This window comes from Homo sapiens, chromosome 10, assembly GCF_000001405.40.
Source record: "Homo sapiens chromosome 10, GRCh38.p14 Primary Assembly".
NCBI classification, from domain to species: Eukaryota; Metazoa; Chordata; class Mammalia; order Primates; family Hominidae; genus Homo; species Homo sapiens.
The window spans coordinates 95,995,536-96,015,346 of NC_000010.11; the positions used below are offsets into that span (position 1 = coordinate 95,995,536).

Consider the following 19,811-nt stretch of genomic DNA (forward strand, 5'->3'; position numbering starts at 1 on the left):
TCTCAGGGTCTATATGATAAGGTGTAAGCTCCTTAAAATGGCTACAAAATCTTCAGGCATCTGGCCCATGCCTACAATCAGCCTCATCTCTTTCTATCCCATAGGCATATCATGCTACTCCTTGTTCTATGAGGCCTCTACTAGTTGTTTCCTTTGCCTGGAATGGCCTCGACGCATATCCATGTTATTGTCCAAAGGAACTACGACTTAAAGTTTCAAAGCACACGCTCAAGCAATGTTTTCTCCATGATGCTCTCCTTATTGTCACCCCCAAAAGTTAATCATTCCTTTTCCTGAATAATTTTCATACCTTAAAGATGTTTCTCTTATTTCTCACATTTCATTGCACTTGTTTGTTTACCTGTATATTTTCCCCTGATAGACTTTAAAATCCTTAAGAGAAAGTTCTGTTTATCTTTAGATCCTAGAAAAGTACCTGATATAGAATAGACCCAGTAGATGTTTATTCAATAAATAAATAAATAATGGTCATTTGAAAAACTAGAAAACTTAAGCCATACATTTGCCAAGTAATTTCCTAGGCCTCTACCTTTATCGACTATATATAGTATTTCAAAATCTAGTCAATGTTTATTATGTGTTTCAGGATACTGTACATCCATTCGTGGAAGTTTCTTTCCAGCACACTGTATACAAAACCAATACAGCAAGTGGATCTCATCCATGCTGGAATGAAGAAATTAAAGTAGATTTTGTGTAAGTTGGAGTTCATTTTTCCATAGCTCCTAAAAAAAGAGCAATAATAAAATTATTTTCTTGAGCCACTTATTGAAAATAATTATTGAAATAGGCTTTATTTAAGCTTTTAAATTTTGAAATATTTCATGCACATAAACTAATACATAATGTATACTGTATAGCATAATATATAATCTATATGTATATATAAACATAAGTTCTAAAGAAAAGTAATAAAATGAATATCTATGTATTTACCATCCAGCTTAAAAACATGTAATATTACCAACACCTTAGAAGGCCCTTTGTGCCATTACCTAACGGCATCTTCTTTCTTTCTCCCTAGAGGTAATAACCATGAATTTGTGTTTATCATTCTTTCTCTCCTGTATGACTTTACTTCATAGGTATTCATCCCTAAGTATGTATTATTTACTTATGTATGTTTTCAACTTTATATAAATTGAGTTATATTTGTTTATTCTTCTGTAATCTTGTTTCTTTAATTATTTTGAAAGATTCATCCATGTTCATGCTTGTAGCTGTTTGCTGTGGCCTAAATGTGCTCCCCAAAATTCATGTGTTGAAAACTTAACTCCCAATGCTGGGAAGTGAGGCCTAATGGGAGGTGTTTGAGGCCATGAGAGCTCCACCCTTATGAATAGATTAATGTCATTATAAAAAGGGCTTGCAGTGTGGGTTCACTTTCTTCTACTCTTCCGCCATGTGAGGACACAGCATTTGTCTCCTTTTTCCCTTCCACCTTCCACTATGTGAAGACACAGCAAGAAGGCCCTCACCAGACACCAGATGCTGACATCTTGATTTTGAACTTTGCAGCCTCCATAATTGTAGGAAATAAATTTCTGTTCTTTATAAATTACCTAGTCTCAGATACTCTGTTATGGCAGCACAAAATGAACTAAGACATTGTTATTTTTTTATTTTTATTTCTATATTGTATTCTGTTGTATAAAAATGCCATAATTTATTTATACTTTCTTCTGTTGATGAACATTGGTCTTTTTTCTAATTTTTGCCATTACAAGCAATATTGCTTTGAACATTCTTGTACTTGTCCTCTGGAGCACATGTGCAAGAGTTTCTTTTTAAGACAGTGGCTCTCAGACCTTTTTATGCATTCAAATCATCTAGACAGCTTTTTTTTTTAATTAGGACAGGATCTCACTCTGTTGCCCAGGCTGAAGTGCAGTTGTATAATCATAGCTCACTGCCTCAAACTCCTGGGCTTAAGTGATTCTCCTGCCTCAGCCTCCCAAGTAGCCGAGACTACAGGAGTGTACCACCACACCCAGCTAATTTATTTTTATTTTTGTAGCACTAGGGTCTCACTATGTTGCCCAGGCTGGTGTCAAACTCCTGGGCTCAAATGATCCTCCTGCCTGGCCTCCCAGAGTGCTGGGATTACAGGCATGAGCCACCACACCTGGCCTGCTTCTTAAAACACAGATTGGTAAGCCCACTTCTGTAGTTTCTAATTCAGTAGGTCTGGGGTAGGGTCTGATAATTCCATCTTTAGCAAGTTCCCAGTGGTTCTAATGCTACTAGTCAGGTGACACTTTGAGAACCTGTTTTCTAGGATATGTGTTCAAAAGTGGAATTGCTAGGTTGTAGCTGAAGTCAGCTTCAACTTTACTGGACAATGCAAACTCTTTTCTAAAGTGATTATATCAATATACACTCCCAACAGCAGTATATACAATTTCCTTTTGTGCCATGTCTTCATAATATTTTGTGTTTTAAAAATTATTTTTCTCAATATGGTGGATCTAAAATTATATTCTCATTGTGGTTTAATTTATAATTTCTTTTTAAAGAGGCAGTTTTTTTTTCAATTTTTTTTAAATTAAGAGACTTTATTTTTAGAGCAATTTTAGGCTCACAAGAAAATTGGATGGGAAGTACAGAGTTCCCACAAATGCCCTCACCACAGCACACACACAGCTCCCTCAGCATCAACATCTGCATTGTGTGATATTTGTTACAATCAATGAGCCAACATTGATACATCACTATCAACCATAGTCCATATTTAACGTTAGGGTTTACTCTTGGTGTTGTACATTCTATAGGTTTTGACAAATGTACAGTGACATGTATCTACCATTATAGTATCACACAGAATGGTTACACTCCCCTAAACATCCTGTGTGCTCTGTCTATTCATCCCTCCCTCCCCCTGGAACCTTGCCAACCACTGATCTTTTTACTGCCTTCACAGTTTTGCCTTTTAAAGAATGTCATTGTGTACATCAAGGTTCTCCAGAGAAACAGAAACAATAGGATGTAGACAGAGAGAGAGAGAGAGAAATTTATTTTAAGGAATTGGATCACATGATTGTGGAGGCTGGCAAGTCCACAATGTGCAGGGTAGGATGGCAAGCTGGAGACTTGGGAAAGAGTTGCAGTTTAAGTCTGAAGGAAATCTGCTGGCAGAATTCCCTCTTCCACAGGGGAGGTCAGTCTTTTGTCTATTAAGGCCTTCAACTGATTGGATAAGGTCCACCCTTATTATGGAGGGTTATCTGCTTTACTCAAAGTCAACTGGCTTAAACTGTACCTAAAAAATACCTTCAGAGGCCAGGTGCAGTGGCTCACATCTGTAATCCCAGCACTTTGGGAGGTCGAGGCGGGTGGATCACTAGAGGTCAAGAGTTTGAGACCAGCCTGGCCAAGATGGTGAGCTGTGCTGGTGGATGCCTGTAATCCCAGCTACTTGGGAGGCTGAGGCAGGAGAATCGCTTGAACTCAGGAGGAGGAGGTTGCAGTGAACAGAGATCGCGCCACTGCACTCCAGCCTGGGCGACAGAAGGAGACTCCGTCTCAAAGAAAAAAACAAAAAACAAACAAAAAAACCTTCAGAGAAACATCTAGAATAATGTTTGACCAAATATCTAGAAACTGTGTCTCAGCCCAGTTGACACATAAAATTAGCCATCATAGTCATATAGTTGGAATCATACAGTATGGAGCCATTTCAGATTGGCTTTCTTCCATGAAAAACATGCCTGTCAAGTTTTCTCCATGTCTTTTTATAGCTTGATTGCTTACTTCTTTTTACCCCTGCATAATATTCTATTATATGGATGTATCACAGTTTACTTATTTATCCACATTGAGCTTCTTTCCATAGGTTCATTGGTCATTGGTATTTTCTTTTCTGTGAAATGACCTTTCATTACTTTTGTCTGTTTTTCTTTTTTTTTTCTTTTTGGAAATTATTTTATTTCTTCCATGATGATTTAGAGGGACTATCTTCAAACCAGTACAAATATTTCATAAATAATATCTGACTGTTTTCTAACCAATTGAGTAATTTGTTGCACAATAAGCCACCTCACATCTAAGCAAGAAATACATTAAATTTGACTAGTAAAGACATTATATAATGCATTAGGACACAATTAAAATTTGCTTTAAATATTTATTTGAGAGAGAGGACACCACACTTCTTCTCAATGAAGAGAAACATTTTTACAGTCCAGAGGTCTTTTTTTTTTTTTTTTTTTTAACACCAATTATGCCATGACTTTATAGGGAGTAGGTTCCAGCAGCTCAGGCTCCTTCCCATTGGGTCTCACAAAGGGTGCTTCTCTGGGTGAAGCAGGCTGGCACTTCAGTTGAACCCAGGTACCTTTCTCTCTGGCTTCTTTTTCTGATCATTTTCCTTCACGTGTTTCGGGAAGCTATCTCAGCTCTTAGAGCACTTATGTGCTCAATACACACATTAATTCTCTTGGCAAGAATCTTGCCCTTCTTTGTTTACAACAATGCCAACAGCATGTTGGGTAACATTGTAGACTCTTCCAGTTTTGCCGTGGTAACACCTGTGGGCATTCCTTTTTAAACAATATCCATTCTCTTGATGTCTACAATATCACCTTTCTTATAGATTCGCATATACATGGCCAAAGGAACAACTCCATGTTTTCTAAAAGGCCTAGAGAACATACATCAGGTGCCTTTCTTCTTTTCCTTTGCGTTCATCATTTTGGCGAATTACTGGAAGATGGCTGCTCCAGCCGAAAGGATACTTTTCTCTATTTTTCTATTGTTTCGTCTGTCTTTATTTATTTATAATAAATAAATAAATAAATAAATAAAATGTATTTATATATTTATCTTTGAGGCGGAGTCTTGCTCTGTCGCCCAGGCTGGAGTGCAGTGGCGCGATCTGGGCTCACTGCAAGCTCTGCCTCCCAGGTTCGAACCATTCTCCTGCCTCAGCCTCCCGAGTAGCTGGGACTACAGGTGCCTGCCACCACGCCCAGCTAATTTATTTGTATTTTTGATAGAGACAGGGTTTCACCATGTTAGTCAGGATGGTATTGATCTCCTGACCTCATGATCCTCCCGCCTCGGCCTCCCAAAGTGCTGGGATTACAGGTGTGAGCCACCGTGCCCGGCCTGTCTTTATTTTTTTTAAAGCAATTCTCTATATATTATGGATACCAGCCCTTTGTGAGTTATATGTGTTAAAACTATCTTTCCCTAATGGCTTGACTTTTCATTTTCTTTATGATGCATTTTGATGAAAAGAAGTTTTAAACTGTACCAGTCCTTTCCTTTATGGTATGTCCTTTTAAAAAAATCTTCTTTAATAAATAGTGGTCTTCCTTTACTTTCCTTACTTTAGAACATATGTCAACTTGCATTAAAATTTTAGACCATCGCATTTTCTGAAGAATGAGTGAGGATATCTTTTTCAATAACATTCCTGTATATAAAAGTATTTTTAGTTAAAATAGTTAATAAATCAGATTTTTAAATCCAAAAAGAAATATACACCTATGTTCCTGCTTGCTACCAAGAAGGAATAAAACAGATATAGACTAGAATAATCCTTTATGTGGTGTTTAGGGACACACACATACACACACACACAGACCCAGTAAAATGGATCTAATTCCATTGCCACTTCCTTTAGTATTGCTATGCTTTACTGCTGGGTATAAATTTCTCTCATGAGCAGGTATGTGTAGCTATTAAACATCTAAACATTTTTTCAAATAATATGTTTCTTTTTATTTTGAAAGGTGGGAAAATTTACTTCTTATTCATACACATAGAGCAGGATTGTCGTGGATTAGCCATCATTTTATATTTTTTTATAATTTATTTTCTATAATTTCCTACGAATATTTTATATTTCATGTTTTCATCGTTTATATGATTTTATAGGATTTCTATGCTTTATCTGAAGCCTATGTTAATATATAACCCCACTAACAAAGGCTAAAGGAACTCAGAAGAACCGATATAATCACTTGCATATATGTGATGACATCTTGGAGGCTATATAAACATTCACATCCCAGCCACCCCTTCTGAAAGTGAAAGGCTTCAGATCCTAAACAGGATTTGCAAGGAAAGGGAGACCCTGTTTATGCCATTATTTCAAATTAGGGGTAGGGGAACTATAAGGAAGCACACCTTAGAATTTTGTTAGCTTAGATACTATGGAACTTCTGCTATTAGCAGAAATCAAATTTGTTCTTCCAGATTCAACATAGGCTCAATTATATTTTCAGAGTCATTGGCCAGAGTTCCTAAACAGATATTCTTGTTATTTGGCTGCCTGTCTGAATCTTGTACCTCTCACTTTGCCTTGTTTTCTGACACTTGCTTTCTTGAACTATTTATTCTTTGTGTGTGAAGGAAATTATTGACTTAAAGGGAAATCTGTTATATAATATTGTATAATATCAAGTTAAATAATTAACATATAAAATGTATTTGTTTGAAAAGTTTGTAAATGTAAAATGTGTGGTCATGTGTGTTTGCAAATATTTGGAATATTAATGTAGACATTAGAGTTAGAAGAAATATACTGTATTAAATAAATTTAGGAGAACATAAAACAGTCAATAAGATACATAAACTTATAAGTGAACTAATGAGAAGACTTGGGAGTGTTTACATCCTTGCAATTATAGCAGTGAAATAGGCCAAGAACAATGTAGAGCACAACCAAGTGGATCAGAGGCTTTGGATAAGGCAAAACCATCCAGCTACTACTTTTTGTTGCCTCTGATACAAGACCCCAACTCCCCTCTTCTTGTGACATTTTAGTGAATAAAAACCACAAGCAAATGGATAAGTAGTCATAATAAATAATATTTATAAGTAATAAATAATATTAAATAATTAGCTCCATAAGCCCTTTCTGGGGGAAGAATTATGGTAACATCTGAAGAACATTTTAACAGAATACAGAATGCAAAATAATGCAGAAGGACTTAAGTGATGTCAGGAATATACTAAGTTAACAAGCTAAAAAATGTTGTAAGGATGACAGTTGTTCTTTCTCCTGCTAGCACAATGTTGTAAATAAATATTGCCTGCCCCGCCCTTTCTTAGATTCTGGCAACATGAAAGGAAATCCTTGAGGAACAAAGTAGGGGAGTCAGCTAGTTATTTTATCACTAGGAAATATAAGGAAACTTCCACTTAAAATTGTTCTCTAAACTCAACTAGCATTTTTCAATCATCATTGCTTGTAGGCTTCAGAAAGTTAGAGAAGCTGTTGAAGATCCTTTGAAATAGTGGTTGCTTCCTTAAGCAACAAGATTCAACAAGTAATGTCAGTGGCAGCTGTATAATGAAAAGACCTGGTCTTTGGAGTTTGTTAGAACCGGGTCCAGCCAAGTGTGGTGGTACAGCCTGTAGGCCCAGCTACTCGAGAGGCTGAGGTAGGAGGATCACTTGAGCCCAGGAGTTCAAGATCAGCCTGGGAAAGATAGACCCTGTCTCAAAAAATAAATAAATATATATATATATATATATATAGAAATAAATAAACTAAATAAAAATATTAAAAAGAAGAAAAGCTATGTCCAGATCAGGCTCTGTGATTTGCTGGTGGCATTACCTTGAGTAAGTTATTTAACTTCTGTGAGCTTCAGTTTCTCTGTGTAAAGTAACCTATTGTACAGGATTGAGATTTCCATCACTGTTAAATGTTTGATGGAGATTCAGTGCACAAACTGGAGCTGAGAGTGAAAGTTCATTGCTCATGATATACACTACCCTTTCAACTACCTCCAAAATGTACCTAATCAAGAATGCCATCAGCAGACAGCTTGCAAAATTAAATGCACTCCATTATCCCAGTTTCTGCTTGGAGAAAATTAACATGGGAAAGAGAATAAATTCCGTTATTTATTTATGTATTTATTTAGAGATGGAGTTCTGCTCTTGTTACCCAGGCTGGAGTGCAGTGGCGTGATCTCGACTCACTGCAACCTCCGCCTCCCGGGTTCAAGCGATTCTCCTGCCTCAGCCTCCTGAGTAGCTGGGATTACAACCGCCTGCCACCAGGCCCGGCTAATTGTGTGTGTGTGTGTGTGTGTGTGTGTGTGTGTGTGTGTGTGTATTTTTAGTAGAGACAGGGTTTCGCCATGTTAGCCAGGCTTGCCTCGAACTCCTGACCTCAGGTGATCCACCCGCCTCGGCCTCCCAAAGTGCTGGGATTACAGGCGTGAGCCACCATGCCGGGCCGTAAATTCTGTATTTAAAGTCATATCTATTAACTGGGAATAAAAGAGCATTTTATCTCTATGTGTCAACTAGCAGAAACTAGCAGAATTTAAGATAGTTGAAAAATCTATACAATACTCCAAAGAATCTTTGCAATTGATAGCTGTAGTGAAAGCCTTTCTGTTCAACACTTAAACATTTTTATTTTTCATCTTAAGAGACATGTAAATTACAAAGCACATGCTGGCTCTAATGAAAGGTAGCAGCCAGTCTTCAGAACATAGAACTTTTTCTTAGTTTATACTTCATAAAAGAAAACAACACAGGTAATTTTATAGTTCTTTATGAATAGTGCTCTTAGGAAATAAGTGGATTTTGAGAAAATTAAGCATTTGAATATATTTTTCTTATTTGCAGCTCACCAGGACATGATTATAGCTTCTCAAGCTTATCTAAAATAAAAGATAACATATATATCAACATTTTTGATGAAATGATGACTGAAAAACATGAGGTAAAGTAGAATAATTACAATAGCCAATGCTGAAATAATTCTAAGGTCAAACTGAATGAAGTCTACTAACATGTTTGTAAATATGCTTTTAGATGCAATGTCTACATCCAACATTTTCTTGAAAGGATTTGAGGCAATTTGCAATAAAATCAGACATATAACAAGTCAGTTCAAAAATAACAGAGATCATAAACCACATACAGGAGGAGGAGGAATAAATATTATCAAGAACTTGGGAGAAGTAGGTTTCTGCAATTGAACATTACAATTAAATGTGAGCTTCCTGTAGCCAATACAGAAATATAAACAGAAATAGGTTACATATATCTTATTATCTGATCAAAGAAAATATACCACTCCTGCAAAAGAGATCAAATTATTCCTAAGGCTAAAATTCAGTTCTACTTAATCTAATTTCTAAAATTACTGTCATCCTCATAGATGTGTAAAAGTTCCTAGCACAATGCCCAGCACCCTAGCAAGCTCCAAAATAAACGTTAGTTTCCTCACTATTGAACTTGCTACTAAAAATATAAAGATGCATACCCATAGTATCTACTCTTTTAAGGTATGTAGATTAAATGCTTTAATAGAAACGTTTTCCAAATTCTATGGCAATGCTACTGAAGGAGCAATTAATTCTACCTGGAGGGCCTGGGGATCCATGTCAGAGAAGTTGAACAAGACCTTGAAGAGTAAGGTTCAGGAACGAGCCTTCTGTAAAAACCACTGCAAATCATAATGGCTATGTTTTCCAACTCAGTTTTCCAGGAGATACAACACACATTCTTATTAAAGAAACTTTAAATCAACCATGATAAATGCTGAAGGTAAAATATTGAGCAATAATTTGGTGATAGCTTTTCTCCAAGGAGTTAAACTGAGTAGTGTTTTGATGATCGAAATTGGTAACGGGTAAAGCTTAGAAAACCCAAAAGAATGTCTAACAAATTTTTTCTCTCAAAAGTGAATTATCTCAAAGACTAATTTGATCAGAATTGAATAGCAGTTGATTAACAACTGAACCCTTGAAAGTGCTTTGCATTGTTATTAGAGTGAGTTTGTTGTTATTGGAATGAGATCCACATGCTTTAGGTATCAGACTTGTTTGTGACAATATTGGCATGCTCTTTAAAAAAGGAAAGGGCCTTGCATTCTTGTCCTCCTCTCATGGACAAGGTTTTAGGGTAGCTATGGGCCAAAACATTCCATTGTCTTCTAAATGACTAGAGCCAGGCTGAGCCCCGAGATAGCCACACAATTGAAAGAAGGTTTTAAGTTATCACTGAACATTATTTTGTCTAGAAATGTTTCATTTTTCCTCTTTTTTTCTCTGTGCCCCTCCTGTATATTTTCTTCCTGCTATCAACTGTTTTCTTACTTCCCACAGGTCTCCCTTTCTTCAGTTATGTATTAGCAGAAAGCTGAAGAATTGGAACTCTTACAGACACGTAGCCTATTTCTAACGCTTGGCATGAAAGAAATGGACTGAACTGCCTTTGGAACTGGCAGAGCAAGCCCCATGCATACTCCAGATTTAAAACTTAGATTAACTGAAACTCTAACAAAAATCCCAGTAGCCACAGAAAGACCTTAAACTAACCCAAAACTCAGATTGGTTTAAATACTTTTTTTAAAAAAATAGTTATTTTCAAGATTTTAAAATGTATTAGCATATAAATTTTCAGCATAGTCTCATAATTTTTGACTTGCTATTATCTACTCTCATCTGGTTTCTAACTTTATCCAACCATGTCTTTCAAATTTTTAAAAAATTATTTAATTTGGAAGATGTTTGCCTATTCTTTAAAGAACCAACTACTGAAATTGTTTTTACTTTTCACTTTTTTGGTTTTCTAATTCATTTATTTCCACTTGTATTTTAATTATTTTTTTCTCCCTATTCCTCCAGGACTACAGTTTTTGTACTTACTTTGGCCAAATGTATTGAATGCCTAGTTTGTTTGATCTCTTGCCTTCTCATGAATAATAGAAACATTCTGAGACTATAAATTTATCTCGGTAAACATCTTAGGCTATGTATTTTATATTTAGTGACTTATTTTTTATTTTATATATGTAATATATATTATATACATAGAATTTATATAATATATATATACATAACATTTCTTGCTTGTTATAACATTTTCTTGCTTGGCCTAACAGTCTTCTAATACTGTATCTTCGCATTTTCAAATGTTTGAAAGGCTTTTGTGTAAACTTTTGATTTTAAATTTCAGTTTTATTACCTTGTGGAAGTCATGCTGTACATTTGAGCCTTTAGTCCATGGTTCATTTAGTCAAGCCACTGTCCCAACTCTATGACTGCTAATTAACATACAAAGATGTTCCTCCTGATGACAAGATAAGGGACCCTATTGGACAAGCTATGTTGCTCACAAAGAAATTATCTTCCAGGACAAAGATGAAGGGGTTCCTTTGATTTACAAGGGATTGAGAGACTAAATACACAGATATCTGAGTTTTATTTATATGAGTTATTTAAAGAGATGGTCCAATCATAGCAGAACCTCTTCCACCATTTAACCATCAGAGTGCCTGGCCCTGCTTCAACTTACACCAGGATATGCAGACTCACCACATACACATTATAGCTCCAGATATTGTCTTCTTTTTATTACTTGATACATACAGTTCCCATACTAATAGATTCCTTAAAGGTTGCTTCATATATAATTCGTATTGTTGATCTTAAAATTCTTTCATTGCTTCTCAGAGAGGATGCATAAGGAACTAATTTTACATACTTTTTATTTTTATTTGACTTTGAAGTTCAGGGGTACACATGCCAGTTTGTTATACAGGTAAACTTGTGTCACAGGGGTTTGTTGTACAGATTATTTCATCACCCAGGTATTAAGCCTAGTATCCATTAGCTATTTTTCCTGATCCTTTCCCACCTCCCACCCTCCACACTCCAATAGGCCCCAGTGTGTGTTATCCCTCTCTATGTGTCCATGTGTTCTCATCGTTTAGCTCCCACTTATAAGTGAGAGCATGTGGTATTTGGTTTTCTTTTCCTGTGTTAGTTTGCTAAGGATAATGGCCTCCAGCTCCATCCATGTAGGGAACTAATTCTAAAGTGAACCTTGATAGAGCTATAATCAATAGCCTAAGGCAAGGTAGACCTAAGAAGCCTCCAGCATCCCTGGGACTTAGGATGGAAAGATTAATGCAGTTGAGAGCACATCAGTCAGAATTCCAAGGACTTGATTCCTACAAAGCTACCTAAGTGTGCCTATTACCTTTTAGACTAGAGCAGCACAGTCCATCTTGCTCAGCTCTGTTGTTGCTGGTTAGCCTCTGGATTTAAAAGACACTTCTCATATTGTCTGGTAAGTGGATGGGGTAACTTCCTAAGTGCAAAAAGTTGGAAGGGCTCCTAATGTCCAAAGCAGTGGTTATTAACTAAAGGCAGGAATCAGGGTTTTAGCAGCTTTTTTCAAACTTCAGCTATTTTCTTTCACTTTCCCTAGATTCTCTGGCCTTTGGTTGATGAAATGAAAAATATAAGTGGCCAAAAGTGGAGTAGATCATAGGGTGCTGCCAATGGGAGGGGTGGTGGTGGTAGTGAATGCCAATCCCTTTTATGCCTAATCCCTGCTTCTCCCTACTATGAATACTTCCTCTAATTTTGGTAATAGTGTTATTGAGGAATGATTAGCATGCAATAATCTGCACATATTTAAAGTGTATAATTTGACATTTTGATATATGTATATACCAATGAAACTGGCATCACAATTAAGATAATAAACATATCCATTACCCTCAAAAGTATCCCCCTGCTCTGTTGGCCTATCTACCTCCTGCCCACAACCAGTGATTTGTGTTCTGTCACTATCGTTTCTATTTTCTAGAATTTTATCGAAAATGGAATCCTATGGTATGTGTTCTTTTTTTTTTTTTTTTGGTTTTGCTTCTTTTACTCAGAAAAATTATTTTCAGATTCATTCATGTTGTAGTTTTATCAAATAGTTCATTTCTTTTTATTATATAGCAGTATTCCATTGATAAACATGCATTTCATTGCTTGTTTATATATTCACCTGTTGATGGACATTTAGGTTGTTTTCATTTTTTGACTATTATAAATAAAGCTGCTATGAACATTTGTGTAAAGTCCTTTTATAGACAAATGCTTTCATTTCTCTTAGTAAATAAAAATAGCTGGATATGATGGTAAATGAATAAGAAACTGCTAAACTGTTTTCCAAAGTGATTGTACCACTTTTTATGCCCACCAATAATGTAGGAGACTTCCAGTTCTTTCACTTTCTTACAAACACTTGGTCAAACTTTTAAACTTTAGCCACTCTAATAGTTGTGTGGTGGTTTCTCATTGTAGCTCTAATTTGCATTTCCTAATGACTAATGGTGTTAGGCACCCTTCCATGTAAATATTTATTTGCCATTTATATATCTTTTTTGGTGAGGTGTCTGTTCAAGTCTTTTGTCTATTTTTAAAATTGGGTTATTTTCTTATTGAATTTTGGGAGTCCTTTGTATTCAAGTCTTTTGTCAGATATATGATTTGCAGATATTTTCTCCCAATATGTAGTTTATCTTTTTATTTTCTTAGCAGTGTGTTTTGAAGAGCAAGGTTTTTAATTTCGATGAAGTCAAACTTATCAACTTGCTTTTGATGTCATGTTTTTTAGCTCTGTATTTTGCAACTCTGTTTGTAGGTTCATACATGTTAGATATATATTACATATTACATACATATTTCTTTTTGATGAATAGATTCCTGTATCAGTATAAAATATCTCTCTTTATTCCTGATTATATTTCTTGTTTTTAAATATGGTTTGACTGTTATAAATATAGTGACTCGGCTTTCTTTTCATTAGTGTTTGTATAACATATCTTTTTATTTTCTTTTAAGCTGTGTCTTTATATTTAAAATGGGTTTACTCTAGACAGCATACAGTTGAGTCTTGCTTTTTAATCCACTCTGACAATCTCTGCCTTTGAATGTATGACCATTTACATTTTGTATAATTATTAACCTGGCTGTGTACCATCTTCCTATTTATTTTCTGCTTATCCCAACTATTCTGTATTCTTTTTTCCTGCCTTCTTTTGGATTGATGGAATACTTTTATGATTTCATTTTATCTCCACTATTGGCTTATTAGCTATAATTGTTTGTTTTCTTAACTGTTGCTCTCAGGTTTACAATATTCTCTTTAATTTGCCACAGACTATCTGTACATAATACAGTACCACTTCACATATAGTGTAAGAGCAGGATACTATAATATAATGCCTCCATTTCCCCTTCCTTGCATTGTGCTAGTGTTGTCATACATTCTACTTTACACAAGTCATAAACTCCACAACAGATAATTTTCTCTCAGACTATTATTTTTGCTTTAAATAGTTATCTTTCAAAGAAATTAAAAAGCAAGAAAAACAGATCTTTTCTATTTATCTTTTGATTTCTTTTTTAGAAGAAAGAGAATGACTTTTTATATTTACCTGTGAGTTTATAAAACTATTCATCACATGATATTAAGTAAGTAATAAAAAATTATTTATTTTCATAGGATCACTGTCTCAAGAGCTGTAGTGGTCACTCATATATAAGAAAGAATTGGCTTGGATGCATTGTCTTCCCTTTTTCTGCTCTTCTGCAACAATCTGAGGTAAGAGAAAATGCTTCTTTGCTCATTCTAAGTTTTGACCTCTGGCTCATAGAAAAACTTTCTGTTGTCTTTGAATCAGACTCTGTGATTGGCAGGCTGGTAGGTCAGTTAAGATGATCCTGTATTAGAATGTTCTGGGCTTTTGAAGTGTTTGAAGATTTGAACTGTCTCTGGAGAGTTCTTTAGAGTGTTAACTAACAAAGAATAGGAAAACTAGTCTTAGGTCTTAAAACAACATTTGTATTTGCATATAAGAGTTCTATAAGATCAGATTCATGAAACATTCTGATTAATGGTGTTTCTTTGTAATCATGGGTACCAGGAGTTTCAGCTTGTCAACACTGTTTATTGACAATGGTAAGACCTATGATTTGCACTAGTCTCTGTGAGACCCTCAGAGGGCTCTGCTGTTGGTTTATTATGTAGCAGGAAAATGCCTACATGACTAGCAAAGTAGAAAAGCCCCAGCCCAGACTCCACTGTTACTTCTTCACTAAGTGATGATAGGCAAGGCACTTGACATCTCGACGCCATGCCAGACACTGTAAATGTGAAAATTCAGAAATGAATTTTCTACCTCAATGAGTTCACTGTCTGTGGAATAAAACTAACATTTCAGTACAATGTGATAATGCTGTAGTGCTTTAATAGAGGTATGAGATAGGTACATGGGAACATACAGTAGGGAGTACTTTACTGTTCCTGGGTTGCAAGTGGAAATGCCGGGGGAGTGGTTCAGAGAGTTTGGTAGTTAAGAGGAGACTAAGGAGGAGAACCAAAGATCAAAGAAAACTTAACATAGGCGATAACTTTTGAATTAAGTCCTTAAAGATGAATTTGTCAAGAAAATAAGGGCTTGACAAATTGGTCAAGCAAATAAGGGCTTAATTTAGATTGCCTTTTGCTACCCTGCTTTTCCTTCATGGGTTTCTTCCTGCCTATGTGTCCTGACACCCAATTTCCAAGGAGATAACAGTGCTCTCAGATTTATTTCAGAGACAATCATTTAAAAAATATATACAAATCCTAGCTCCTTTGCTTGTCAAGGATTGTAAGCCTTGTTTATTAATGGCACGAAGTCACCACTGTACAGTGTCATAGTAGTACATAAATGGCTGCCATCGTATACCAGTTAAAGTGTTAATGAACATTCTGTTCCTACTACCTGGCTGTCATGTTACCAACTGAAGCTATTGGTAAGGAAGTGGGAAAGAACGAATATCAGGTAGGACAGTAGAGGTGCCTGCACAATGTGCAATCACATGAAGTCATGATGGCACGTGTTGCAAAGACTGGCAATAGGAATACACATTGTTGGAGGTACAGCTACAGGGATTCCTATGTTTTTAAGTCCCTGTGGACACTGCTCAGTCTCAGGCCAGACTGCAGGATACAGTGGTAGGTAAGAGTGTGGGCTTCAAAGGTGGACACATCTGGGTTGTAATCCTGGCTCCACTGACTCATTACTTTTGTGATCTTGCACAAATACTTCAATTCTCTGACCCTCAGTTTGCTTATTTGTGAAATGGAGATAAGGGCAGTGTTTACTCCATTGAATGATACGATCTATATCAAGCACTTGGCACAGGGTCTTGCACATTAGTAAGCACTCAGTAACTATTAGCTATTATGCATTTTTTTGAGACAGCATCTCACTGCGTTGCCCAGGCTGGAATGCAGTGGGACAATCATGGATTATTGCAGCCTCAGCCTCCCAAGCCCAAATGATCCTCCCACCTCATCCTCCTAAGTAGCTGGGACCACAGGTGTGCACCACCACTCCCAGCTAATATTTATTATTTACCTCTTACACACACGCACACACACATACACACACACACACACACACACACAATTTCTCCTACTGTGGACCTCAGGGTTGTCTTTCTTGCTGTTACATATTTTCTCTTTCTGGACCCAATACAAAATGTAACATGATCTTTTAACTTCTTCTCTGAGCCTGCATTAGATTTTCTAAGAGCTTTATCGCTGGTATCGTAACTTGCTTCTTTGTTCCATTCCTTTCTTACTCCTACCCTCTCTACATAGTACATATTAGGCAGGGACCCAAGGTGTCAAGGGTGCCTATGAACACATCACCACAGAGAACCTGCTCATTCTTGGGCAAGTGCAAATGAGTAGAAGCCCGTTCACGCAAGCAAGCAAGCTTTCTGTGATGGAGTGGACTCTGCTGGGCCTAAATATTTGACTGATGTTTATTTTCATCATGCATAATCCATTATACTGATATACTCTTTCAGATTAGTGGAACATTTCAAGTAACTATTCCACCAGTTTTGCTCGGGTATACTTGGAGTAATACTTATGTATTTCCTAAAGAAGATTCCAATGAGCAGAATTTAAAAGAATGTACATTCTTAAATATTTTTGCTACCATTGAACCTCAAATATCATATGTCACCTGTAATCCAACACTAGATAAGGTAGGTTTTACATTGAATTTCTTTTATATATACCATCAAAGAGGTATGAACTATTTTAAAAACCAGTAATAATTTCAAAGATGGCAAAAATAAACATTGGTTCTTGATATTTTCTTGTGAGAACAATACAGTACAATTCTGAAATACTTTACATTTTATTGTAGTTTTTAGATCAAACAGAGGTCTTGCAGAGAGCACAGATTTTTAAAAAGAATTGTAAGGCAATGTTTCCCAACCGAAGAATCGTAACTACTGTTTTTAATGATGAAGGGATACAGTTCTTAGTCACAAGATATATCAAGGCATTAAATCCACCTCAGCAACTTCTGGATATATTTCTTCACAATTCTAATGCAACATTTGTAAGTTATTATTATTTTTAACATCTTCATTGTGATTAAAGGGCATCTGTGAAGAATCACTTTTACCTTTTGTGTATTTGGGTTCAATCTAGTGAGTTGTCTGTCCTCAAAATATTTGTACTGTTTGTGAGTCATAAAGCTCCCTTAGCTGGACTCTTTAAGCTAAAATCAAAAGTTCTAATTTAGATTGCCTATTGCTACACCGCTTTTCCATCATGGGTTTCTTTCTGCCTGTGTGTCCTGACACCCAATATCCAAGGAGGTAATAGTGCTCTCAGATCTATTTCAAAGGCTATCTTTATCTTTTAAAAACTATGTACAAATCTGAGCTCCTTTGCTTGTCAAGGATTGTGAGTCTTGTTCATTAATTGCATGAAGTCACCAGTGTAGAAGGTCATAATGGCACATAAATGGCAGCTATTCAACATCAGTTCATGAACTTTCTACGTTAACACATTGTTTATTTGCACCCCTTTCTCCTTTCCTAGATTAGTCTGAGTCTTTGTCTCCAGCACTATAGGGGAAAAATCCATAGTATAACTTCTATTGTTTGACAAAGCACATTGTACTACCCTAATATCTCCCTGCTGCAGCAGCTTATAATAAAGTTATATTCACAAAAATAATTGTGATAGATTTTGAACCAAAAAAAAAAAAACCTTTGCTATTCTTCAATATCTTAAAATTTTTTAACAGTTGTACTTTAAAGTACATGTTTAATGTGGAAACATATTATTGTAATATTTAAAATTTTAGTAATAAATTAAATAATTACTAAATAAATAAATATAAATAAAATATAATGGTTACATGCACCCTGTGCAGTCAGCCCAACTTGGGCTCAGTTTCCCAGAGACTTCACATATTGTATTAGCCATGGAACCCAGGGCAAGTTATTTTATTACTCCAAGCTTATTTCCTCTTCTGTAATACTAGAATAATAATAGTGTCTACTTTTATAGGCTTAGATTATATGCTAAATGAGAGAGTGCATGTAAAGCATTGTGCTAAGTGATGGACATACAGCACACACTCAATAAATGTGAATATTATTCTAGGACCTCATTGCTCGATTTGTATCTTTGATTCCTTTTGTGCCTAATACACCAGATGAAAATGATGGCTCTGATATATGGATGACATCAGAGGTAATAAATTACATTTTATATATATAATTGAAATATATAGTATTTCTTTTAAGGAAACCTTTTAAAAATATTATGTATTTATGTATTACTTTGCCTTGTGAAATTTAAAAGTATTTGATAATTTTATACATCATCTTCAGTTCCATAACAATCTATGGAAATAATTCATGAATACCAAAAATCTTTTCAACATTCTAAGTGGTAGCTCATGAATATTTTGACTCAACGGGAATTCCAGGAGTATAATATTATGCCATTCTCCAGAGAGCAGTGTGACTTGTCACTATGGAGTTGGTCAGACCCTGAAGTCTTGTGCAAGCACTGTCACTTCCCAAAAGCTTTCCCCCATCACCCCCATCTGAGTGAAGAGCTCGTAGAACAGTGCTCTTCCTTAGCACTTAGATTAAAGTCCTCTTTAGTCTGATTGCCAAATAAAATACAGGCCCCATGCAATATTCAGGACAAACTTTTAGTAATAAATTATTTGTTGTTTATCTGAAATTCAAATCTAACTGGGCATCCTATAACTTCTTTTCAAGTCTGGCAACCCTAAGTAGAGTATTTAGAGTATTTCTTCCATTTCAGCTTAAATCATGTTTGTGTCATAAACCATGAGTGTATGACTGATTCAGTTTTACAAGAAAAGAATTATTTTCTCTCACCTAACACACAGTCTTTGGAGTAAAACAAACAAACAACCTTGGTTCAAAATCCTAGTTCAAAGACTTAGTAGATGTGCGACCTAAGATAAGTTAACTTCTTTGGACCTCAATTTCCTTATCTATGTCATACAGGAGTTTTAAAAAGACTAAATGTAGTAACATGCAAAGCATCTGGACCTCAGGAAAACTTAGTTCCCTACTGTCATCCTCTCCCTACTCCTCTTATAAAATCCAGAACCTCCTTGACCTGACAATGAAGACTATTGTTATTCTGCCCTTAGCTCACCTGTTCACACTGTTCTTTCAGAAGGGCCTCCTTAACTATCCTCCCTAACCCCCATCCTTCACCATCAGGTTCAGCCAATGCACACTGATAGGGCCATATCAGTTGTTAAAACATTGCAATGCTTCCATAATGATTGGTAAATAGTCATTGCCATGAGCTCTATAGCTCCCCACCCCTTATCCCCACCTCCCTGGCCCCCACAGCCCCTTCTCAGGGACTGTATTGAACTGGAGAGTGCATGCCACATCATTTTTTTTTTAAATGGAGTCTCGCTCTGTCGCCAGGCTGGAGTGCAGTGGCACGATCTCGACTCACTGCAACCTCTAACTCCCTAGTTCAAGCAATTCTCCTGCCTCAGCCTCCTGAGTAGCTGGAATTACAGGCACGCACCACCAGGCCCAGCTAATTTTTTTTTTTTTTTTTTTTGTATTTTAGCAGAGATGGGGTTTCACCATGTTGGCCAGGATGGTCTCAATCTCCTGACCTCGTGATCTGGCCGCCTCAGCCTCCCAAAGTGCTGG

General features: G+C 36.1%; 1 protein-coding gene, 1 long non-coding RNA gene and 1 pseudogene across 22 annotated transcripts in view; 1 reads left to right on the top strand and 2 right to left on the bottom strand.

Annotated features, from left to right (window-relative positions):
- The window catches only part of ENTPD1-AS1 (ENTPD1 antisense RNA 1), a 337,030-nt gene that overhangs the window by 242,330 nt on the left and 74,889 nt on the right, over positions 1–19,811 (bottom strand). The gene's annotated exons all lie outside the window — the stretch shown is intronic.
- Positions 1–19,811, top strand: part of CC2D2B (coiled-coil and C2 domain containing 2B) — a 126,075-nt gene that overhangs the window by 87,865 nt on the left and 18,399 nt on the right. For 12 of the 21 annotated variants that reach the window (XM_024447995.2, XM_024447996.2, NM_001349008.3 and 9 more), the window contains 6 exons: positions 608–717; positions 8,617–8,713; positions 14,290–14,388; positions 16,650–16,832; positions 16,997–17,194; positions 18,253–18,342. In XM_024447995.2, the coding sequence (XP_024303763.1) occupies positions 608–717; positions 8,617–8,713; positions 14,290–14,388; positions 16,650–16,832; positions 16,997–17,194; positions 18,253–18,342 (777 nt within the window). Of the gene's footprint in view, positions 1–607; positions 718–4,231; positions 4,679–5,259; positions 5,293–8,616; positions 8,714–14,289; positions 14,430–16,649; positions 16,833–16,996; positions 17,195–18,252; positions 18,343–19,811 lie in introns of those variants that run through there. The other 9 variants (NM_001159747.2, XM_024448001.2, NM_001001732.4 and 6 more) reach the window with 9 other exon arrangements.
- RPL21P90 (ribosomal protein L21 pseudogene 90) lies at positions 4,199–4,751 on the bottom strand (annotated as a pseudogene).